Raw genomic sequence first — 24,784 nt, forward strand, 5'->3', positions numbered from 1 at the left:
AAATGAACAGACAACACAAATCACCACATGTCTGAAGAAAGCCTACTATAAACTGCAAAACAAGTAAGAATGACCATGTGGGAAATGAACATATGAAGGCCACAGATGAGAATTTTCAAAAACTCTAATTTGTATCTATAAAACAAGAACTTTATACTACCTAGAAGAGAAGATAAAGTTGAGAAATAGACAAGATAAATATATGAAAAATACAAAAGAAAGGATAAGTCTAGAAGGCCCAATGTCCTGCCTGAAGGAATGACAGAAAAGAAAAAAGATCAAAAAAATTAAGAAATAAAATTTCCCACTCCTGACGTGAACCACGTTTTCAAATTCAAAAAGCTCACAGAGAGCAAAACAGAGTGAAAAAAACAAACCTAGAGACATAGCATTTTACTTTTCAAGACAAAAAGATCCTGTCTCCAGAGAGGGAAAAACTGGGCACCTGCAACTAAATGAAAACTAGACTTCTTACTGGTAACACTAAAGCAAGAAGATAAGGTATTATCTTCAAAATTCAAGGGAAAATGATTACTAATGTAGAATTTTGTACCCAGCCAAACTATGGAGGCAGAATAAAGATTTTTTAACCACTCAAGGATGGAAGGAGTTTACCTACTACAACCTTTTCTTAGGAAGCTACATGAAGATATATTCCAGCTAAAACAAAAAGTAAACCAAGAAAACATGGGATCCTGCAAACAGATGAAAGCCTAGGTCAGCAGCTGTGGTGGCAGCAGGCCCAGAGAGAAGTGAGTATAGATTGGAATTAGGGGAAGGACAGAAGCCTCTCAGAGAAAGATATCCAGAAAAACAGAGGACTCGGCACAGAGCCAGTAGACAGGGAGCCTAGACAAATTTTAAGAAATGACAACATGATTAAGAAAAAAAGGTAGGCTGGGCGTGGTGGCTCACGCCTGTAATCCCAGCACTTTGGGAGGCCGAGGTGGGTGGATCACGAGGTCAGGAGATAGAGACCACGGTGAAAGCCCGTCTCTATTAAAAATACAAAACATTAGCTGGGCGCAGTGGCGGGCACCTGTAGTCCCGGCTACTCGGGAGGTTGAGTCAGGAGAATGGCGTGAGCCCAGAAGGCGGAGCTTGCAGTGAGCCGAGATCGCGCGCCACTGCAGTCTCACCTGGGTGAAAGAGCGAGACTCCGTCTCAAAAAAAAAAAAAAAAGAAAAAGAAAAAAGGTAATGAATGAATTCAGGAAATGTAAACTGCTCAAGAAAGGCATGATCCCAATAAAAGACTTTATAGGTGAGCAATCAGTATGGTATAAAAGAGGAAAAAATCCATTTGAACTTGAGCCTAGGAAGATTTTCTAATAAGCGGTACAGGATTGTAAAATGGAACACATTAGAAATCATAATCATAGAATGGTACTAGGCTCCACAATAAATACTATTGATAAGATAAAACAGTTTTTGCTTTAAAGTTTTAGAATCAATCTAAATTAGAGAAGATAAACTATGATTACAGAATATAATGTAAACGTTATCATAAATAAGAGTATACATTAAGTTTGGGGAGTGAAGTAGGGAAAGAGAAGGAGTGAAACACAAGAGTTTCAAGAATTTTTAAAAACTACAGAGTACTCATATACTGTCTAGCTTTGATGGAACTAGAAATGGAGTATACTCTCTAAATTAACAGAAATAGTCTGAATTTGGGAAGAGGAGAAATGAGAAGAGAGCATATGCAATACAGTCCTAAACTGTGATTGTAGGAAATAAAAATATATGCATAAAGTTGATAAGTTACAAAATAGCAAAAGAGGAATACTATTCAGTGATGTGGAGCTTAGCACCAAAAGAAATAAAACCAGAATGCTTTAAAGGTCTCTGGGGAGTTTTTAATTTGTATACAACAGTGGTTCTCAATGTGATCCAGGGACTCCCCTAAGGGTTCCTGAGACCCTTTCAGGAGGTCCACACAAGGTTGTTCTCTTTTTAATTACACACTGGTGTGAGGCCAGGCTGCCTTCATATATTTTAATCCAAATAATTTACTGCAACAGTCTGAATGCAAAAGCAAATTTTAGAATATTCTTAATTTAAGACATTAAAAAGATTTGTAAAAATGTAAAACAATGCCTCTCATCTCACTGTTTTTGAAACTAATTTTTCATAAGCATATTTTTGGTTAATGTGTAATACTTTTACTCTTTCTTTTTGAGTCGGAGTCTCACTCTGTTGCCCAGGCTGGAGTGCAGTGGCACAATCTCGGCTCACTGCAACCTCCGCCTCCTAGGTCAAGCAGTTTTCCCTGCCTCAGCCACCCGAGTAGCTGGGATTACAGGCAGCTGCCACCTTCTGGCTAATTTTTGTATTTTTAGTAGAGACACGGTTTCACCATGTTGGCCAGGCTGGTCTCAAACTCCTGACCTCAGGTGATCCACCCGCCTTGGCCTCCCAAAGTGCTGGGATTACAGGCATGAGCCACCGTGCCCAGCCTAATTCTAATATAGTAAATACCAATATAACCCAAATAAACAAAAACTCTGGGGTTCTGAATAATTAGAAGTGCTACAGGAATCCTGAAACCCAAAAGTTTGAGAATCTTCATTTCATGATGCAGACCATTAACTTGAGTCTGTAATGGTTATTCACCATTTATTTCCTTGGTCTCTATTTATTATCCCTTTATGCAAAAAGTTTCTGTCACGCAACAGGAAAATGAAATTGCTTAATTCATTAATAAAAACTACTAATTACAGTAAAATAAGGTTTATAATTAATAGAAACCTAGCAGAAAATTGTTTAATCTAAACCCAAGATATGAAATCACTAGTAAGTGGCAGAGTAAAAGCCAGAACCTAAGCAGTGTGGCCCCAGTGTGTATGTGCTCTTAACCATCACATCTACTCTCTACAACATTTGTGTTTTCTTTAACAGTTTAAAATACGGTGACAAGTTCAACATATAAATCAATGTAATACACATTAATAAAATGGAAGACAAAACCCAAGCGATCATCTCAATAGCATTTGACAAGAGTCAACATCCTTTTATGATTAAAAAAAGAAAAAAAAAAACCTCAACCAACTAGGAATTGAAGGAAATAACCTCAATATAATAAAAACTATGAAAAGCCCATAGCTAACCTCACACTCGATGACACACTGAAAGCTTTTCCTCTAAGATCAGGAAGAAGACAAAGCTGCATGCTTTTACTGCTTCTATTCAACACAGTACTTAAGTTCCAGCCAAAGCAATATGGCAGGAAAAATAAAAGGCATCCAAATTAGGCCAGGTGCTGGTGGCTCACACCTGTAATCACAGCACTTTGGGAGGCCAAGGCAGGTGGATCACTTCAGCCCAGGAGTTCGAGACCAGCCTGGCCAACACAGTGAAACCCTGTCTCTAATAAAACTACAATAAATTAGCCATACATGCTGGCATGTGCCTGTAGCCCCAGCTACTTGGGAGGCTGAAGCACGGGAATTGCTTGAAAACCCAGGGGGCGGAGGTTGCAGTGAGCTGAGATTGTGCCACGGCACTCCAGCCTGGATGACAAAGAAACACTCTTTCTGAAAAAAAAAAAAAAGCATCCTAATTGAAAAAGATCAAGCCATCTGTTCACAGATGACATCATTTTATACATGGAAAACACTAAACACTCCACAAAAAACTGTTAGAACTAATAAAGGAAATAAGCAAAGTTACAGGATACAAAAATCAGTTGCATTCCTATATGTTAACAATAAACAGGCAATTAAGAAAACAATTCCACTTACAATAGCGTCAAAAAGAATAAAAAACTCGGGCCAGGCACTGTGGCTGGCTCAAGCCTGTAATCCTAGCACTTTCAGAGGCTAAGCTGGGAGGACAATATAGTGAGACCTCATCTGTACGAAAAATACAAAAAACAATTAGTGGCGCATGATGACACGTGCATGTAGTCCCAGCTACTTGGGTGGCTGGGATCACCTGAGCCCAGGAGGTCAGGGCTGCAGGTGGCCGTGATCGTGCCAGTCTGGGCAACACAGCAAGACTCTGTCTCAAAAAAAAAAAAAAAAAAAAAAGGAAAAGAAAAGAAAACAACCTTACGAATAAACCTAGCCAAGAAGGTGAAAAACGTGTGTATTAAAAACTACAAAACACTGCTGAAAGATTTAAAGACACAAATAAATGGAAAGACATCCCATGTTCACGGATTAGAAGGCAAACTATTGTTAAGATGTTAATACTACCCAAAGTGATCTAAAAATTCAGTGAAATTCCTATAAAAATCCCAGTGATTTTTTTTTGCCAGAAAAGAAATCTATCCTAAAATTCCTGTGGAATCTCAAGAGATCCCTAATAGCAAAACAACCTTAAAATATTAGAACAAAGTTGGAAGTCTCACACTTGCTAATTTCAAACTATGATAATCAAAACAGTATAGTGCTGGCATACAGACATATAGACCAATGAAATAGAATAGAGGACCCAGATATATAGCCTTGCATATACAGTCAAATAATTTTTGACAAGGATGCCAAGACCATTCAGTGCGTTGTCTTCTCAACAAATGGTGTTAGGAAAACTGGATATCCACACGAAAAGGAAAAAAGCTGGAGCTTCACCTTACAAAATATACAAAAATTAACTCAAAATGGATGAAAGATCTAAATGTAACAGCTAAAACTATACAACTCTTAGTAGAAAACACAAAGGAAAAAAGCTTCATGACATGAAATTTGGCAATGATTTATTGGATGTGACATCAAAAGCACAGGCAAAAAATTAGACAAATGAGACTACACCAAAATTAAAAACCTCTGTGTGGCTGAGTGCAGCGACTCTGTGTGGCACTGTGGGAGGCCGAGGTGGGCAGATCACCTGAAGTCAGGAGTTCGAGACCAGTCTGGCCAACATGGTGAAACCCTGTCTCTACTAAAAATACAAAAATTAGCCAGGCGTGGTGGCACATGCCTGTAGTCCCAGCTACTCAGGGGGCTGAGGCAGGAGAATCGCTTGAACCAAGGAGGCGGAGGTTGCAGTGAGCCGAGATCATGCCACTGCACTCCAGCCTGGACAACAGAGAGAGTCTGTCTCAAAAAAAAAGAAATTAGTCTAGCCTGTAGGTACATGCCTATAGTCCCAGCTACTCAAGAGGCTGAGACAGGAGGATCACTTGAGCCTAGGAGGAGTTCGAGACTTCAGTGAGCTGTGACTGCACCACTACACTTCAACCTGAGTGAAGAGGAAGACTCTGTCTAAAAACAAACAATTATAGTACGTTTAGCAGTTGGTTGACTTACATCATCCTACAAATACCTTTTATGAGGCAGTAACAAGAGAAGTCACAGAGCAGCACCAGTCTGCCTACCACACTTTGAGTAGTATAAAAGCAGAGCGTCCCACCAGATGTTGGTGTTAGTTCTCAGGGAGAATGCACAGTGCATGAGTGGCCTGAGGGAGGCCCCGATTCTGTTGCCTGCAGCTGCAATATCCCTTATTCAAGGCTCCAATCTCTCAGCTTACACAGCAAGCTACTGCACAAATATCACTTTCCGTGTTAGCAGAGACATGGAAGAATTGGAAAGCAACAGCTCACAACTTTGGGGCTACCAAACGAACCACCACAGTAGGTGAATTAGAAAAAAGTCTTCTTACATCTTTTTTTTTTTTTTTTTTTTTTTTTTTTGAGACGGAGTCTTGCTCTGTCGCCCAGGCTGGAGTGCAGTGGCGTGATCTCGGCTAGCTGCAAGCTCCACCTCCCGGGTTCACGCCATTCTCCTGCCTCAGCCTCCCGAGTAGCTGGGACTACAGGAGCCCGCCACCACGCCCGGCTAATTTTTTTGTGTTTTTAGTAGAGACGGGGTTTCACCGTGTTAGCCAGGATGGTCTCGATCTCCTGACCTCGTGATCTGCCCGGCTTGGCCTCCCAAAGCGCTGGGATTACAGGCTTGAGCCACTGCGTCTGGCCTCTTCTTCCATCTTTTAAGGGAGAACTGTAAGGAAACTTTTTCCTATATCAGTCTTGCTCTGGGTAAAGAAGAGAAAAGACTTTCCTGACAGTTCTTAGGCACAAGACATGGTGAAACCCTGTCTCCACTAAAAAATACAAAAATTAGCCAGGTGTGGGTAAAGAAGAGAAAATACTTTCCTGACAGTTCTTAGGCACAAGACAGTCTTCCCCTAGGTTTGGACTCTAGAATTCACATTATCTGACCAGGCAAATTCCCAACCAAGAAGTTAGTTTAATTCAGACTGACTATCTATTATCTGAAATGCATGGGACCAGAAGTTTCCGATTTTGGAATATTTGCATTACACTTACCTGTTGAGCAAGCCTAACCCGAAAATACTTAACCTCTGTAACTCAAGGCTGACAGTGCTTCCAGGTCACACAAAACACATATTCTTCTGTAAATGCTGCAAATAACATTCCAACAAACAGGAAACCTCAATCAAAAAAATCTTAAGAGGCCAGGCGCAGTAGCTCATGCTTGTAATCCTGGCATTTTGGGAGGTCAAAGGGGGAGAATCACTTGAGGCTAGGAGTTTGACACTAGGCTGGGTAATAAAGGGAGGCCCTGCCTTTAAAAAAAAATTTTTTTTTGTTTTAATTAGCCAGGTATGGTGGGGTCCTGAAGGCTGAGGCAGGAGGACTGCTTGAACCCAGGAGGTTGAGGCTGCTGTGAGCTACAACTGCACCACCGCAATCCTGGGTGATGTTGCCTGGGATGTAGCCTGGGTGACAGAGTGAGACCCTATTTCAAAAAAAAAAAAAAAAAAAAAATCACGATAAAACCCAAGGGAAATACACTAATATAAGCAAAAGTGTACAGAATTAAAAGAAAAAAATTTTTTTGAGACCACAGGCATTAGAATTATTGGATACAAAATGTTTAAGCACACTTGAAGTAAAAGAGATTGTCAAAACTAAGACTAAGGAACAAGATGGGTCAAAAACAACCAAATGAACTTTTAAAACTAAATCATCTGACAAATTTATAGTCAGGAACTCAGAAAGGTTATTGCATAACTAATTAAACATGGCTGGCAATAAACTGGTGAATGAGAAAATTATCTGTAAAAATTACCCAGAATGCACAGAGAGAGAGGAAGAGATGAAAAACATTAAAGAGATTAAAATACTTGGAAGATAAAATAAAAAGTGGTTAACTTACATCTAATTGGAATTACAAATGGAGAGAAAGACTAGGAAAGAATATAGAAAAAAAATGTCAAGAGATTCCCTAAAATTAATGAAAGATAACAATGTTCAGATTCAGGAGTCCCAAGAAACCCTAGTAAAGAAGAATTCACAGTAAGATATATCTAAGTGAAACTGTAAACATGAAAGATAAAGAAAAACTCTTATGAGCAGCCAGAGGGAAAAAACTGCCTACAGAGATTAAGTGATGACTACTCAAGGAGGTAGAATCAAAGATATTTTAAGATGAAGAAAAAAAACCCAAAAAACTCTCAGGCTGATTGTGGTGCCTCACACCTGTAATCCCAGCACTTTGGGAGGCTATTGCAGGCAGATCTCTTGAGTCCAGGAGTTTGAGACCAGCCTGGGCATCACAGTGAAACTCTGTCTCTACTAAAAAATACAAAAATTAGCCAGGCATGGTGGCGTGCCTGTAATCCTAGCTACTCAGGGGGCTGAGGTGGGAGGACTGCTTGAGCCCGGGAGGTTGAAGGTGCAGTGAGCTGAAATTGCACCACTGCACTCCAGCCTGGGCAACACAGTGAGACCCTGTCTCAAAAAACGAAAGCAAGAGGAAAACCTGTTTTTTTAGACCCACGCTAATGGAAATTCTCAAAGATTTACTTTAGAAAGAATAAAAATGATCTCAGAATGAATGAATGTTGAGCAAAAAGAGTGGTAAATATGAAGGTAAACTTAAATAATCATTGACCATATAAAACAAGTAATTGTGTCCAACAGTAATTGGTCACGGGGTTAAAAAAATCTGAGCTATCATATAACAAGAACACAAAATCAGGAGGACTGATCAAGTTTAAAATATTTTAAGTCTATTGGTTAGGGGAATAAAACTAATGACTAACTTTAGACTAAGTGAAATATTCATGTTAAATTTCTAGAGGAACCACTACCAGGTGGAAACAGAATATTGTATTTCTGCAGTTATAAAGAATGAAGTGGGAAAAATCTAAAGAAAACATAGACAGCTTCTGTTATTCACATTAAATGTGCTTTTCGTACCTTAGAAAACATACTGTGTGTGTGCATGTTTCAATTTTGGGTAAAACAGCAAAGTAATTGATAGATACAACATTTCTTTCTCTTTCATGGCACATGAAACACAATCTGACCTTCCCTTTAGTCCAAGTTTAATGCTCAACAGTGTTGGACTTTTCTAGGACAAATTGTGGCATTTTATGTATCTACGAAACTACTGACATTTAAATGTCTTTAAATTAGATATAACATTGAAAAAAAAAAAAAAAAGACAAACTTCCTCACAGAATCACCCCAAAGACAAAGCAACTTTATTCTTTTTGTTTTGTTTTTGTTTTTTAACCCAACAGGGTTTACTGTTTCCCAGTAAGTGCAGTGGCAAGATCATGGCTCACTGCAGACTAGACTCAGATGATCTTCCCACCTCAGCCTCCCGAGTAGCAGCTGAGACTACGCATGTGTGCCAGCATGCCCAGCTATTTTTTTTTTTTTTTGGACACAGGGTCTCACTTTGTCACCCAGGCTGGAGTGCAGTGGTATAAGCGTGGCTCACTGCAGCCTCAACCTCCCAGGTTCAAGCGATCCACCCACCTCAGCCTCCTGAGTAGCTGGGACCACAGAAACCTGCCACCAAACCCGGGTAATTGTTCGCAGAGATGCTGGTCTCGCTATGTTGAGCTGGGGATGTTGAGGGTACAGTGAACTTTGATTGCGCCACTGCAAGTTTGTGCATCAAAGTTGAACAGTTAGTTGTATTTAGAGAACACAGTCCATATACCTTTCAGGGCAATACGGAATAAAAAATTGGGTTTACTATAATGTAGGTAATAGCTCACTAAATGTGAGGTGATGGCCCATTGTGGTTTTGATTTGCATTTCTATGGTAGTCAGTGATGTTGAGCGTCTTTTCATACGCTTTTTGGCCATTTGTATGTCATTTTTGGTAAAGTTTCTATTTAAGTCTTCTGCCAATTTTTAAATTGGATTATTTGACTTTTGTTGAGTTTTAAGAGTTCTTTATATATAGCTGGTCTCAAACTCCTGAGGTCAAGTAATCCTCTCCCCTCAGCCTCCCAAAGTGTTGGGATTACAGGTGTGAGCCACAGCACCTGGCTATTCCTTATTCTTGATGTTGTAATGTCATGCTCCCATTATCTTTGCAATGTTATTATAATAATAATTTTATTACCATAGATTTTAGAAGAAATTTAAATTTAGGTTCCATTTCTTCTTTTTATTTTTTTCACTCTGTCACCCAGGAAGGAGTGCAGTGGTGCAATCACAGCTCACTGCACCCTCAACATCCCCAGCTCACGTGATCCTCCTACCTCAGTCTTCTAAGTAGCTGGGACCACAGGTGTACTCCACCATGCCTGGCTAATTGTTTTTTTTTTTTTTAAACAGAGATGAGGTCTTGCTATGCTACCCAGGCTGGTCTCAAACTCAGCTTCAAGTGATCCTCCCGCTTCAGCCTCCCAAAGTGCAGGGATTATAGACATGAACCACTGTGCCCTGCCGCTTGATTTCTTCTTAAACACTAGAATAAGACAGCTTATCCTACAATTCCTACCAACTCACTAGAATGGTGTAGACCACAGGGGAGCGAGGTGGTTAAATGTCGTATGAAAATTGTTAATTTTCTTGTAATCTTTAACTCACCAGGAAAGACAGCTATCACCATTTCCCATCTGCGTCCACTGGATCTTTTAAATTATTTTAATTTTAGTCATTTAACAAATAATTTCCATTAAAATAAGGGATAATGAAAAAGAATGATTAGAAACTTCTATAAATAAGAATTACAGTAATTAAAAAATTATAGTAAACCCGAATTTTTATTCCATATTGCCCTGACTTCAAAGGTATATGGACCATGTTCTCTAAACACAGCTAACTGCTCAATTTTGATGCACAAACTTGGAACATGCCCACCTCACAAATGCTGACTCCAGATTTGAAATATATCTCTAACAAGTTCTATCTGGTTCATCATTACTTCTGGTTCTTCTTCCTGCACTTGCAGGGTCAAAATACAATCCATAAAAATTTTTTCTGAAATGTCTGATGGCTCCTATTTTGTTAAAGAGATGGCCATCTTCTTTACTCCCTACCTGCAAAACATTTTCAATTTTAGATTTGGAATGTTTAATCTAATAACTCATTTCTACACCAACTACTTTTTTCCAATCACTTTTATATAAAGCATCTGTTTTCAGCATTTGTCCACTAATGAACCATATCAAGTATATTTTAGTGCACAAACTTCACAAAAGATGAAAGAATTCACCAGGCACGGTGGCTCAGGCCTGTAATCCCTGCACTTTGGGAGGCCAAGGCAGGCGGATCGCTTGAATCCAGGAGCTTGAGACCAACCTGGGCAACATGGCAAAAACCCCATCTCTACAAAAATAAGCTGGGCACGGTGGCACATGCCTGTAGTCCCACTTAGGAGGCTGAGGAGGGAGGATCACCTGTGCCTGGGAGGCAGAGGTTTGCAGTGAGCCAAGATTGTGCCACTGCACTCCAGCGTGGGCTAGAGTTCGAAACCCTTGCCTCAAAACAACAACAAAAAGGTGAAAGAATTCTGCCAAGTATCTGCTTAGCAAAATAGGATATTCTGGTTCTCCTCACAGAATATTATAAAACGAAGTCCCTTCTAGTGAATGACTAACTGAATGAGAATGGCATATTTCCTTTTTAATCCTTAGAAATGTATTATGTATTGATTCTTCAGTTTGAAAAATTCATGTAGGACATTATCAGCTGAAGACTTGTAGCCTGAGATTTTCTGCTTATACAATTTCAACATTATCATTGGTCTAGAGCGGTGCTTTTTGCATTCATCTTATGATCTATCTGATAATTGGGAAACATTTTCCTGTGTCAACTTTCTTCTCCTTTGCTGGTATGGGCAGAGAATGAACAATTTTGCATTCTCAACTGTGTTGAAGGAAAACTAAAAGCCAACTATGAAGTTAGTGTCTCTACTTTCTTTTCTAGCTTTTTGAAAGAAGATATGATACTTGGGCAATGCAATATCATCTAGTTATTTCACTACTGTACCACCCTTGTAGGTGATTCCAACATTCTTCCATTTTCCAATTATATTAGTCTTTAACATAGTTGGGAATACGTGATAGAGGAAATAATTCACAGAATGATAAAACAGCAAAATGTTTAAGATCCCATGATGTAAATCTTGCTAGATAGGATGAATTTTATTCCATTTTGAAAAATAAGGGAAATGTTTTCTTTGCTCTTTGGAAGGCCTCTAAGAAATAAAAGTCATGGAATGTCAATCCTTGTAACTAGAACTACTCAAAAAAGAAACTCACTATTGATTGGGTACAATAAACCCTGAAGGATACCATAAATTAATTAAAATGAAGTACTCTGTAACTTTTTCTTTCTTTCTTTTTTAAAGACAGGGTTTCACTCTGTCACCCAGGCTGGAGTGCAGTGGCTCAATCAAGGCTCACTGCAGCCTTGACCTCCCCAGGCTCCGGTGATCCTCCCACCTCAGCCTCTCGAGGAGCAGGGACCACAGGTGTATACCATGATGGGGGGTTAATTTTTGTAGAGGCAAGTGGATTGCTTCAGGTCAGGCTGGTGACCTCAATTCCTGGGCTCAAGGAATCCACCCACATCAGCCTCCCAAAATGCTGGGATTACAGGCATGAACCACAACACCCGACCTCTGTAACTTTTTATACTCACGAAAAATAAATCCTTCATCATTTCTCAAATGTATTAACACTTCTTCAAGGAAAGGTATGAATATTCACACTGAGTGAGATGGGAAAAAAGCTAACCTTCTGTCAATTCAGTTTTTACTGTCAAGCTTTTACAAGCTTACTACGAATATTTTCGGAAGTGTGTGAATTTCGTAAATGTGGGTGAAACATTACAGACTTCTAAATATAAAACTAGGATAACCAGATATTCTGATAGTAACTTAAACAGAAGAGTGTTATGATTAAATTTACATTTCATAGAGACCATTATGCTTATAGTATAAAACGGTTTGGGAATGGGCAGGATTGGGGAAGTAAGAGAAGCTATAAAGCCACTTTCATAAATCACAGCACTCTTTGCTCTCATCTACATGGTTATTGTTTAAACAGTTTTATTGTTTTTCCCATCAAAAAGGGTCATATTTCTTCAAGCCTATTTTCAAAGACATGCCTTGCCCATTTAATGCTGACTACCATACTAGTAGTGTATTTTATACTATAGCTTTTCCCAGAAATATGAATTCAAAAAATTTATTTTCATTTGATTGATTTCAACCACAGTGCTTCCCAATACTTTAAGCCCATGTGACCTCTGGAGCTCTTAAGTATCTATGTGAACACTAGACTACAAACTTATTTTAAGCAAAATTTTATGCTATTTTTTTCTGTAGCTCCAAGTGATCAGATTCTAGTTTCCTTATAAAGGCTACTCATTAAAATTACACCAGTAACTTGATAACTGTACTAAATCCCTAATCCAGCAACTCTAAAGCTGACGACCTTGCTATCATCTTTTGGTTTTCATGACCCTAAATTCTCCTGGCTCTCTGTTCACACAGTATTTCTTTCTTTCCCTGGTCCTACCTTAAAGTTGGTAACCACAGTTGTATTCTTTTTTTTTTTTTTTTTTTTTTTTTTGAGATGGAGTCTCGCTCTGTCGCCCAGGCTGGAGTGCAGTGGCGCGATCTCGGCTCACTGCAAGCTCCGCCTCCTGGGTTCACACCATTCTCCTGCCTCGGCCTCCCGAGTAGCTGGGACTACAGGCGCCCACCACCACGCCCGGCTGATTTTTTTTTTTATTTTTAGTAGACACGTGGTTTCACCGTGTTAGCCAGGATGGTCTCGATCTCCTGACCTTGTGATCTGCCCGCCTCAGCCTCCCAAAGTGCTGGTAATACAGGCGTGAGCCACCGTGCCTGGCCCCATAGTTGTATTCTTTATTTTTCTATAAATAATTTAAAACATGTCTACTGAATGCTTGATATATGCCAGGCACTGTACTTTCTCTAGTTTCATCCATATTCACCAGCCACCTACTGAATAATGGCTAACATTGATAGAGATATAATATATGCCAGATACTGTTCTGAACACTTCACAAATAATGTTTTCTTTTCTTCATTTTATTAATAATACAGAGTCTCACTTTGCTGTTCACGCTAGTCTCAAAATCCTGGGATTAAAATCCTCCAGCCTAGGCCTACCAAAGTGCTAGGGTTACAGGTGTGAGTCACTGCCAGGTCCACCTTACAAATAATAGTGAATCCTCGAAACAACACAATGGAGAATGTAAAAACCTCCTGGGATACTGATAATGTTCTGTTTTTGTTTTTAATTTAAGTGCAAGTTACACAGGTACACTCGGTTTATGACATTTCATTTTCTCTTACATGTGCAGTTTTCCTATGAGGCAAAGAAAATATTATCTTCAATTTATAGATAAAAAAACTAACAACAGACTGTTTGCCCAAGGTCACATGGCAGGTAATAGGAGGAGCCAGATTCAGCTTAGGTAGTCTGACTTCAGAGCCAACCCAGTCTCTATTATATCATGCAATCCAGATATTTGTCTTGGCTCAATACTTTTCCTTTGTCTAAAATGACCTTCCCTTGATTTTCAGAATGAAAGAACACGAAGTCTACCTCAAACTCCATAGTCAAAATCCTCCAATTTCCCATTTTAGTATTTCATTAAAACTTAATTATAATGGCATAGTTATTTGTAGACTCATCTGTCTCCACCCTCATGCCCCAGAAGTGTAAACTCCCTGAAAGCAGGGACTATGCATATTGTAGATGCTCATAAAATATTAAATAAGTGAATTATTCCCTACAAATGCACTTTAATATAAAGTGTATACAAGACTAATATTCAAATAAAACAAAAAAAAACCCAAAGTTTATTTCATTCATTTTATCTCTGTATGAATAAAAGCTGTACTGTACATGGCTTTCATGAAATACTAAGAAATGATATACTCAGAACAATCACTCTAATCCTGTATTCTGACAGAGTGGTGTCATGGACAATTAATAGTCAAGCAACCTTTAATAAGTAGACTAAAGATCCATCCAAATAATACTAACATACTTCATCAATTACAACATTTATAAGCCTGAATGGTCTTCTGATTAACCTGATGATCTATGTCTCTGAGTAAAAATGTAGCTGATTTTTTTTTTAACAAATACATCTATTTAAACAGACATATATTAGATATATACTCTAATCCAACTGCTTATATAAGCATGTCTATCTCTGGGATCTCTATTTTAACTCAATAATCTGTCTATCCCTGTACCAATACCACATTTTTCTATTAATAATATTTTGGTATCTGATATTACAAGTCCTTCCTTATCATTTCTGCAAGACTTTCATGATATTTTTAGCTGAACACTCTCCTCACTATATACATTAAAATCCCTTTATCAAGTTATACCAAAAATCCTATGAGATTTTTATTGGAGTAATGCTAAATATATATAGGAGATAATAATTTGATGGCATTGGTTTTTCACTCATGAACACAGTCCATCTTTGTCATCTTTTATGACTTTTTTATCCTATTGTATTTTCTCTTCAAAGTGTTTTGAATACTTCATTTGTTTTATTCCTGCTTACTTAATAGATTTGGTGGCTATACATAAACAGGACTTATTTGAAATTTAATAATCTAATTCAATATTGATGAAACAAGAATGCTACTGATTTTATCTGAAAATTTTTTTTTTTTTTTTTTTTTTTTTTTGAGACGGAGTTTCACTCTTGTCGCCCAGGCTGGAGTGCAATGGCGCGATCTTGGCTCACCGCAACCTCCACCTCCTGGATTCAAGCTATTCTCCTGCCTCAGCCTCCCGAGTAGCTGGGATTACAGGCATGCACCACCACGCCTGGCTAATTTTGTAGTTTTAGTAGAGACGGGGTTTCTCCATGTTGGTCAGGCTGGTCTCGAATTCCCAACCTCAAGTGATCTGCCCACCTCGGCCTCCCAAAGTGCAGGGATTACAGGCATGAGCCACCGCTCCCGGCCTTTGCCTGATCATAGATCCAGAAAACTTGCTGTACTCTTATTACTTCTCATATTCTTGCCTGACAAGCATAACAATCATGTTACCTGTAAATAGAAACTTTCCTTCTTTCTCTATTAGTAATGAGGACTCCAAATGTTTTAAAACATTTTACTGTGAGATTATGAAACTCTCTATATAAATATATGATAGATATTAACCAAGGAATCCTTCTAAAACCCTTATAATATTATTACTTAAATCTCTACAGGAAACAGCATTGATAGGAATGCCTATTGATAATCAGGCACTAGGCTAGAAAATTTTATATTTAAACTTCACCTCAAGGCAAGTCAGGTGAGGAAACCAAGTCTTAGAGAAGCTGATACTTGGCCAGGGTGCCTGAAGGGATGGAGCTGGGATTCAAACTCTATATAGTTCCAAAGTTATGTCCTTTTGTTCATAGTGTACTATAAGGCAGTTTACAAAAGCATACTCAAGCAGATACCTATTCTATACAGGGATATTCTGGCTCACCCTACTCTATTAAGACTAATAGCCATTTTATCATCAGTGTAATAGCAACAATCCTTTTGGAATGAAAATTATCTTATTTCAAGCTTATCCATGCAGTGTACATCCTAAGGTCTCTGATTCAACAATGGAAGGATTGATGTTATTAGTCGTTGCAATATTTCTTTTTCTTGTAAAGCCAGTAAATTTCCATCACCAAGGTTGGTTTCAAAAACCTGTTCACCTGGTTTTTTTACTTTCTCAGTGTTTAATCCTTTTCTACCTTACTAGTGTTACTTTTATTCTTTCCTGAATTCAAGACACAATATTCTTAACACTACTTTCAAATAAAAAGTAAAAAAGAGAAAGGAAAAAAGGAAAACTCATTAGCTTATCAGCCTATCCAAGCTACTGTTACCCTACCCGAGTTATCTCATCCTTTAGGAACGGAAGTCCCTAAGACATCTCAAAATCATTAGATGAGATGCCTTCTTTTGACTGGCAGATGCTTAAGGTACAGCAATAGTCAAAATCCACTTACTGCTATGTCCAAGGTTTTTCTAAAGTATAAATAAAGAAAAAGTGGCTGTTTACAACTCTCAATGAGGCTGGGCGTAGTGGCTCACACCTGTAATCCCAGCACCTTGGAAGCCCATTGCAGGAGGATCACTTGAGCTCAGGGGTTCAAGGCTGCAGTGAGCTATGATCACCACTACACTGCAGCCTGGGTGAGAGAGCGAGACCATGTCTTTAAAAAAAAAAAAAAAAAAAAAAAAGCCTCAAAGAAATGGTTATGTCTCATTAATTGTGGGATATAATGGGATTATTTTATAACGTTTATTACATATGCTTTTATAAATGTATATGCCACGAATTCTCCTCAAAAACTGAAGAATTCCTATCAGAACTTCTCTATCTTTGACAATGAAGAAGTTAAAAAAAATGATTTTTGATCCTATGAAACTATTAGGAAGTTTTTTCTACTGAGAATTACCTTTCCTCATATTCTTTGCTATCCTAAAGTCCTTAGAACTGTCATAATAGTTCTCTCCGCAAGATTTATTTAAAAATAAAACTAGATTTATGTAAGTGCATTTCCTCAAACAAAAAAGGTACTCTACTCTTAACAGGTTATCTACCTAACCAAGTTCCCTTTTGGCCATGAAGCCATCCTTACATTTTCACCATGTCTGAAATCTGCTTTATCCTGTGCACCCTCAAATTAACATGCTATCAGAAACGTACACATGTAAACACATACAAACGAATACTTAACTGACATTATTTACTTGACTTAAAAAAATGCAAAACAAGGTTGGGCGCGGTGGCTCATGCCTGTAATCCCAGCACTTTTGGAGGCTGAGGCGGGCGGAGGACCGGAGTTCGGGAGTTTGAGACCAGCCTGGCCAACATGGTGAAACTCGTCTGTACTAAAAATACAAAAACTAGCCAGGCGTGGTGGCACACGCCTGTAATCCCAGCTACTCAGGAGGCTGAGGCAGGAGAATCACTTGAACCCGAGAGGCAGAGGTTGCAGTGAGCCAAGATCGTGCCATTGCACTCCAGCCTGGGTGACAGAAGGAGACTCTGTCTCAAAAACAAAAAAAAAAACAAAAAATACAAAACAGGAAAAAAAAAATTCCATAGTTTATGGGACTTAGAACACAAGACTGAGAAACGCTTACCACAAAATTGTCTAATATGCATGAACACAAATGAAAAATGTGGTAACTAATCTACAAGTTACTAGTAGCCATACTTGACAAATTCATTATTACAGGTCTTTACATCTTAAAGAATCTGATCTTTAGTGTGCCATTATGAATCTCAAATATTAACAAGCTAAAAAGTCTAAATCTAAAATAAATTTAATCAAATATCTTACAGAACTGTAATCAAGAAAACTAAGAGCTGGAATTACTTTTATTGTATTTTATTTTGAGACGGAGTCTGTCTCTGTTGCCCAGCCAGAGTGTAATCGCGCGATCTTGGCTCACTGCAACCTCCACCTCCCCGGTTCAAGCGATTCTCCTGCCTCAGCCTCCAGAGTAGCTGGGATTACAGGTGCCCGCCACCATGCCCAGCTAACTTTTGTATTTTTAGTAGTAGAGACCGGGTTTCGCCATGTTGGTCAGGCTGATCTCATACCCCTGACCTCAGGTGATACACCCGCCTTAGCCTCCCAATGTGCTGGGATTACAGGCGTGAGCCACCACGCCTGGCCTCTGGAATTACATTTAGGTGTAGGATGTTTACTTTATCTGTATTCAATGATAGGTGAAGCAATTCAATCACATCATTCACACATAAATACAGTCATCCCTCCATATAAGCAGGGGATTGGTTCCAGGACCGCTACGTATACAAAAATCCATACATAAAGTCCCACAGTAGGCCCTGTGGAACCTGCGAATACAAAAAGTTGGCCCTCCATGAATACTCTATTTTCTATCCAAATTTGATTGGAAAAAAAAAAAAACTGCATATGTTTTCAGGCGTGAACTGTACTTAAGATTTTCCTGAGTTTGAGATCTTCAAATTTGAAAAAATATTAGTAAAGTAGACCTTGGTCTTCCATCTCTAAAAGTTCCATTATAATTATTTCCAGCCAGGAAGAAAAATTAGCATCACCACCACACTTTTTGCATGTGCTTTTGTTATTAATGTTATTCATTCATCTTCCTTGCCAAAATTCCCAGTATTATTGGGCCTGATTTCTTGCCATTAAATGCAAACACTTTTCATGTACTATGTTTATATACAAGGCCTTATGTACAAGAGTGCCTAAGTTTTAGCAATATAAGTAATGTCAAAAGACTAGTCTTTTCTCATCAGATGTACACTTAATCAATTTAGTAACCTGGATTGTTGTTACAGTTTAAACTTTTCAGTTTCAAGGCCAAAAAAAAAATTATTAGAAACAGAAATTCTGTCACAGTTCCCTATACTGGGATAAAACAATCACATAAATATTTTATCAAAAAATTATTAATTATCTTTAAATCAGCATTTCCTTTCTTCATTTCTATCTGTAGGTCTGCATTTAGGAAAAACATTTCAGAAGTGCCACAAAGAACCCACCACTTTACAGTAAATAAAGTTAGTAATTCAACAAATCTTATCACTCAGCCCATATGAGGAAAACAGAAAAAACCTGAGTAAAACAAGTAAAATTTTAATGGTTAAACACAATCTTTTCTAGACGGAATACTAGTAATTGCCAGCAGATTTATGGCACAGATGCTGATTAGCTATCTCTTCTGAGAAAAAGATGGTTTTTTCCTCTCCTTGAAAATTATTAGCCCTACTAAAATCTCAGAATTCACTATATAATTAGTCCACGTAACCAAAAACCACTTGTACCCCAAAAAGCTGTTGAATTTTTTAAAAGTCCTAAAAAGTTTTATCAAAGTAGCTGAAACTTTTTTTGTCTAATTATCAAAAATTATAAGCAAACGATTTGCTAATACTTGAAATGCCCCCAAGATTTTGCTGTAATAATTTGTCATCTCAGTGCTTTTTCTGGAATGCAGGCCTCATGAAAAAACACTTGTAAAATGCCACATGGCATTCAACAATTAGTAAAATCTAGTTTCACCAATATGATGCACATTTATACATTTTGACATCTCTTAATGGAGTCTTAAGCAGTGTCTTAACTGGCAGCATTTTTTTTTAGTGCTACATACAATAATGGTACCTTTTACAACAAATGGCATCTTAGGATGCCATGGAAAACAGTAACTTGGTTTCTCAAAACCACAAGTTTCAGCCCAAAAAGATAGTTTGCCCAGCATCTCATTTTACAGATGATGAACATGAAAACCCAACTATATGATGTTCCCAACGTCATAAAATCAAGAGCAAAAGAGGCCAGGTGTGGTGGCTCATGCCGGTAATCCTAGCACTCTGGGAGGCCGAGGCAGGACTCTGCCCAGGAGTTCGAGATCAGCCTGGGCAACATAGGTCCTTTCTCTCTAAGAAAAATTATTTATTCAAAAAAAAAAAATCAAGAGCAAAAGAGACTGAACTCGGGTCTTCTGGCTCCCAATGATGCCCTTTCCATTAAACACCGTGCCTCCTGAAGTAAATCAAATGAAAAAAACTGCCTGGGTTTAACCAACATCTAACATACATAAAAAGCATATCACGCAGGAGCCGTGTGCGCTTATGGCCTGAATCAAAAGTCTCAGATTGACTCAAAAGTAACAATTTAACAATCCACTGTTGTGTTTGTCTTTGGTAAGATGTATAATGAACTACAGACTTCAGAAATGAGAGCTTCCCTTAAAGCAGGGATTTCATCCGGTGCATTACAATGACTCAGTACAATCTCACTTGCATCTTCTTCCCTCCCCACCATTCCCCGCAGGGGAAAGACCCCCGCAAGGAGAATGACAGGCCCACCTGGGGCCTAAACTCCATAGCTCAAACAAGGCTGGGCACTCATTTATCAGCACTAGAAACTTCGCACATCTTTTCCAGTCTAAGAACTACACAATTTACAGGTGGTTGGTATGTGAATCTCTCTCCTTGCAGGAAAAACTAAAGGAACCCGATGAACACAGTGACACCCGCAGTTTGTCAGCAGGACTCGCTAGCGATGGAGCGTCTGGGGAAGAAGCCCCACGGCGGAGGAAAAGGTACCCGAGACAACGACACGTTATCTGGGCTCCGGGGGTTGAAGCACCAGGCGACGACGCAGAGAGGCGTCGCACGAGAAGCCAGTGGACCTGCGACACGGCACTCCCCGTGAGGTCCCTTCAGCCACCCTCTCCATCCCCCAAGTGGGAAGAAGATGGGAGGTGGGGGCTGGACGCGCGGAGGCGGGGACTGGGGGGCCTGCCGGGCGGCGGTGGCGGCTCCGCTCGGCGGCCGCAGGAGGCCATTTTAGTTAAGGGGCCGCTGAAGGGCCCTGAGGCCTCCACGTCCCTACACCTCCGCCGTCTCTACCTCCCCCCTACTGGGGGCCGCTCCCCGCCGCGGGCCGGGCCGGGCCGGGCAAGGCGGGGCGGGGCGGGGCGGGGCGGGAGAGGCCGCCGGGCTGGGCCGGGCCAGGCCTGCAGCGGGCCGGGGCTCTGGGATGGCTGGGGACGGGCGCGGGGGCGTCGCATCGACAGGATCCGGACCGAGGGGAGAGCAAGGGGCGAACAGAGAGAAGGCAGGATGCCGTTACCTATATTGGGCCGCAGCCGCCGCCGCCGCCGCCCCGCTGTGGGTGAATCCAAAGTAGTTGCCGGTCGCCATTTTGGCATCTTCCCCCAGCCGGCTGGGCACTGCGGCGGGCACGAAGAGTCGGGTCCCATGGCGGGACAAGAGACACAGAGGAGCCGAGACGCCGAGGGAGGGCAGGGAGAGAAAGAGAGAGGCGCCGTGAGAGCAGCCCTGGCGGGGCCCAGGCCGCGGCCGCGCCGCCTCCCCCTCCCGCCTCGCACTCCCTCACTCACTCGCACGCCCGGGTGGCGGCCGCCGCCTCCTCCCCGGAGCCTGCCCCAACCCCCGCGGCTCCCCGCTGCCCGGGGCCAGGGAGGGGGCCGGGCAGAGGCCTCGCGGGCCACATTAGACTCACCATAGGTGAAAGAAACTACAGGGCATATGGGAATCATGGGCTCGGGCTGCTGCTGCTGAACTCTGAACTCTCACCCGCTGCCTCCCTCCTCTGCCCCGCTCCTCCTCAGCGGAGAACAGACCGCCGCCTCCGACCGCACTGCGCAGGCGCGCCTGTGCTCGGCATCCTGGGAGCTGTAGTCCCCGCCGTCTTCGCGGCTCCCCCGGGCGCGTGCCGGGGCCTCGGCGGTGCGGGCGCGGGGAAGCCCGCGGGGGAAGAGGGGCCTGGCCTTCTCCGAAGTGGTGGTGACGCCGCGCGGCCGCGGGGCGACGGGGGCGTGTGCCAGAAGCGCCTCGCCTGTCCTCTGGGGAGTCGGGGAGCGTGACCAGAGAGAGTGACGTCTGTTCGCCTTTTTCTTTGCTTTCCACTGGCTTCCTTAACTTTTGCATGTGCACTTATTCCCTGCCTCCCTGTCTTCCTCGCTCATTAATTTTTCATTGGAATTCGAGCTGGGCAATTTAGGATTTTTCCTTATTTCCTGCTTTCCCGCAGCTTTTCCCCAACCTCTGAAGTGCGGAGGGAGGGAGAAGGAGAGGAGAGAAATAGAAAAAGGATGGAGAGTGCTTTTCTGTTGGACTAAAAGCACACCCTAAACATCCCTCCCGGACATACCTCTTGCTATACCCTTTCCTCGACCTGCACCCACTCCCTGAGCCATCCGGCGTATATCGGTCACCCAGCAGGGTGTCAGGCAGTGTTGTAGGTGCTGGAGATACGGCAGAGAACAAAACAAAGTCCCTGTTCCCGTGGAGTTTACGTTCTAGGAGCGGGTATATGTCAGCCAACAGCCGGTAGCCAAAACACAGAAATTCTGTCTGATGGTGACTGGAGCTTCAAGCATAAATAAAGCAGAGTAAGGAAAATAAGGGTAAGGGAGGTGCTATTTCATGTAGAGTGTGGTTAGGGAGACCACTTGAAGGAAGGAAGGACAGGCCTGGGAGATGCCTGCAGGAAGAGCAGCAAGTGGAAGGGTCCAGATGAAGGAATGAATGTTCAAGAGCAAGAAGATCAGTCTGGCTGGAGTCAAGTGAGAGGGAGACCAGATCACGTGCCAGATCTTTAGTGGTAAGGACAGAACAGTACTTGCCCCCATGTAAGCATTTCCTCTTTCCCTCTGTTTCCTCGCTTTCTTCCCTTTAGTTTCTCAGTTCGTTTTCAACCATTCTCTTTCCTCTTCCAGTCCCTCTTCTGATCGTCTAGTTTCTCTGGCCTTATGTTTCGTGTCTTCCATCAAGTACATATGTACTGCCTGCATTTCACCTCTTCCTTACCTTCTCCATGCCCATCCCCCAGACTCCCTGCTCCTCATCTCTCCTCATTGTTGGATATGAACATTAAAAGGAAATGCTGGCCGGGCGCGGTGGCTCACGCCTGTAATCCCAACACTTTGGGCGGCCGAGGCGGGTGGATCACGAGGTGAGGTCAGTGGCCAACATGGTGAAACCCCGTCTCAAAAAAAAAGAAAAAAAAAAAAAGCCGGGCGTGGTGGCGGGCGCCTGTAGTCCCAGCCACTCAGAAGGCTGAGGCAGGAGAATCGCTTGAACCCTGGAAGCAGAGGTTGCAGTGAGCCGAGATCGCGCCCCTGGACTCCAGCCTGAGCGACAGAGCGAGACTCCGTCTTAAAAAAAAAAAAAAAAAGGAAAGGAAAAAAAAGAAATGCAAAGGGTGAATCAGAACCCACCCATGAAATTCAGGGCTTTGTCCTACTTTCTTGTGCCAGAGCAGAAACAATGCCTCAATTCTTTTTTGTGCCAACCTTGCTCCCCACGCCTCCTACAAAAGTACAGGCTCTCAGAACCTGTCTGATTTGTCCTGTTACTCATTTCAGAAAGAGAAAATGTAGAACCTTGGAGAAAAGTTAAGTGTCATTATTTTTGAGAATACTGATGTTTTCCCAGGCAAAAGTTATTTGTGCCCCAAGGATGTTGCTAGGAAGAAATACCTCCTACACATAGGACATTAGAACTGTATTTTAAAGGTATTTTGCCTTGAACTTCATTGAGCAGTCAAGCTTCAAGACACTGACTGTAACTGCTTTGATGAACCGGCTCTATTAGTTACTAGGCTATTTGAATAAAACTGGAGGAGAAAAGACAGGTGTTGATTACTTGCCTAAAAAGAGTCTGTGTAGGCCAGTTTTATGCTTGTTTGCTTGGCAGGCCTTTGGAGGCCGGCGTGCTACTGGCACACCCCAATGAGCAAGCACATAACTAGAAAGAGGAAGACGGGGCCTCTCCCCTGGTTCTTAGGGGTCAAAGTAGGTGTGGCAGTAGTGAAAATTATTTACAACAGCACTCTCAAAGATGCAGCCTGTAGGAACAACCTTTCAGTATCGCACCTACTTGCCCTTGACTTGGGCTCCTTTAAGGAAGGAGTTTTGGAGGGTCTTGAATATTTTTCCTGGGCATCTAGTAGTGGAGTAACCTGAACATGTTATTTAACCTATCTGAACCCATACGGCAAGAATAACAATAACATCTTCCTGATGGGACTCTGGTGGGGTTTAAATGAGGCAGCATTTATGTAAGACATCTAGTTTTTTTTGTTTTGAGATAGGGTTTCACTCTGTCGCCCAGGCTAAGTGCAGTGTTGTGATCTCAGCTCAATGCAGCCCCAACCTCCTGGGCTCAAGCAATCCTCCCACCTCAGCCTCCTGAGTAGCTGGGACTACAGGCACATGCCACCATGCCCAGCTAATTTTTGTATTTTTTGTAGAGATGGAGTTTTGCCACATTGCCCAGGCTGGTCTCCAATTCCTGAGCTCAGGCGATCTGCTCATTTCGGCCTCCCAAAGTGCTGGGATTACTGGTGAGAGTGAGCCACCATGCCTGGCCTAACGCCTAGCTTTTTCATGTAAAAAGACTAGGCTAGATGATTGTCAGTTCTTTATTTTTATTTATTTATTTGAGACAAAGTCTTGCTTTGTCACCCACGCTGGAGTGCAATGGCGCGATCTCAGCTCACTACAAACTCCGCCTCTCAAGATCAAGCAATTCTCCTGCCTCAGTCTCCCAAGTAGCTGGGACTACAGGCATGCGCCACCACACCCAGCTAATTTTTGTATGTTTAGTAGAGAAGGGTTTCACCATGTTGGCCAGGCTGTTCTCAAAGTCCTGACCTCAAGTGATCCACCCACTTGGCCTCCCAAAGTGCTGGGATTACAGGCGTGTGCCACTGTGCCAGGCCGATTGTCAGTCTTTTAAAATCAACCTTCTAATAAGTGAATGCATTGTGCAAATCACACCTACAAGTCAAAAGTAGGTGGCTCTGCCCTGGAAGAGTTTATGTTCTAGAGTACCCGGTCTAGGCAACATGGCTGTACGTAGTCTTCTGGGTCAACAATTAAAGATGAAATACTTGACCAGAAGCAACCAATTATAATAGGGATTGTCATCCTTCATGTCCAGAACTGGTTTGGTATGCAAATCTGATCAAATCCTCTGTGCTTTCATCTCTCAGGATAAAGCAAATTCTTCCATGTGGCCCACGA

General features: G+C 41.5%; 1 protein-coding gene across 2 annotated transcripts in view, besides 4 other annotated features; it reads right to left on the bottom strand.

Moving 5' to 3' along the window:
- ZFR (zinc finger RNA binding protein) overlaps positions 1-21,374 on the bottom strand; it is a 90,391-nt gene extending 69,017 nt beyond the window's left edge. For both annotated transcript variants that reach the window (NR_144318.2, NM_016107.5), the window contains exons 1-2: positions 21,256-21,374; positions 20,863-20,962 (exon numbers count right to left, since the gene is read on the bottom strand). Coding sequence is in view for 1 of the 2 variants with exons in the window: in NM_016107.5 (NP_057191.2) it covers positions 20,863-20,962; positions 21,256-21,292 (137 nt within the window). In the remaining variant the exon portion in view is untranslated. The remainder of the gene's footprint in view (positions 1-20,862; positions 20,963-21,255) is intronic.
- Positions 20,417-20,756: a silencer, noted in NCBI's record as "silent region_15957". NCBI's record gives its function as "represses an Ori minimal core promoter by ATAC-STARR-seq in GM12878 lymphoblastoid cells {active_cell/tissue: GM12878}" and the evidence as "EXISTENCE:reporter gene assay evidence [ECO:0000049][PMID:35858748]".
- Positions 20,417-21,025: a biological region, named in NCBI's record as "H3K27ac hESC enhancer GRCh37_chr5:32443940-32444497".
- Positions 20,468-21,025: an enhancer, noted in NCBI's record as "H3K27ac hESC enhancer chr5:32443940-32444497 (GRCh37/hg19 assembly coordinates)". NCBI's record gives its function as "activates a minimal SCP1, AML or CMV promoter by ChIP-STARR-seq in naive H9 embryonic stem cells {active_cell/tissue: H9 hESC(naive)}" and the evidence as "EXISTENCE:reporter gene assay evidence [ECO:0000049][PMID:30033119]".
- Positions 20,987-21,676: a silencer, noted in NCBI's record as "silent region_15958". NCBI's record gives its function as "represses an Ori minimal core promoter by ATAC-STARR-seq in GM12878 lymphoblastoid cells {active_cell/tissue: GM12878}" and the evidence as "EXISTENCE:reporter gene assay evidence [ECO:0000049][PMID:35858748]".

This window comes from Homo sapiens, chromosome 5, assembly GCF_000001405.40.
Source record: "Homo sapiens chromosome 5, GRCh38.p14 Primary Assembly".
NCBI classification, from domain to species: Eukaryota; Metazoa; Chordata; class Mammalia; order Primates; family Hominidae; genus Homo; species Homo sapiens.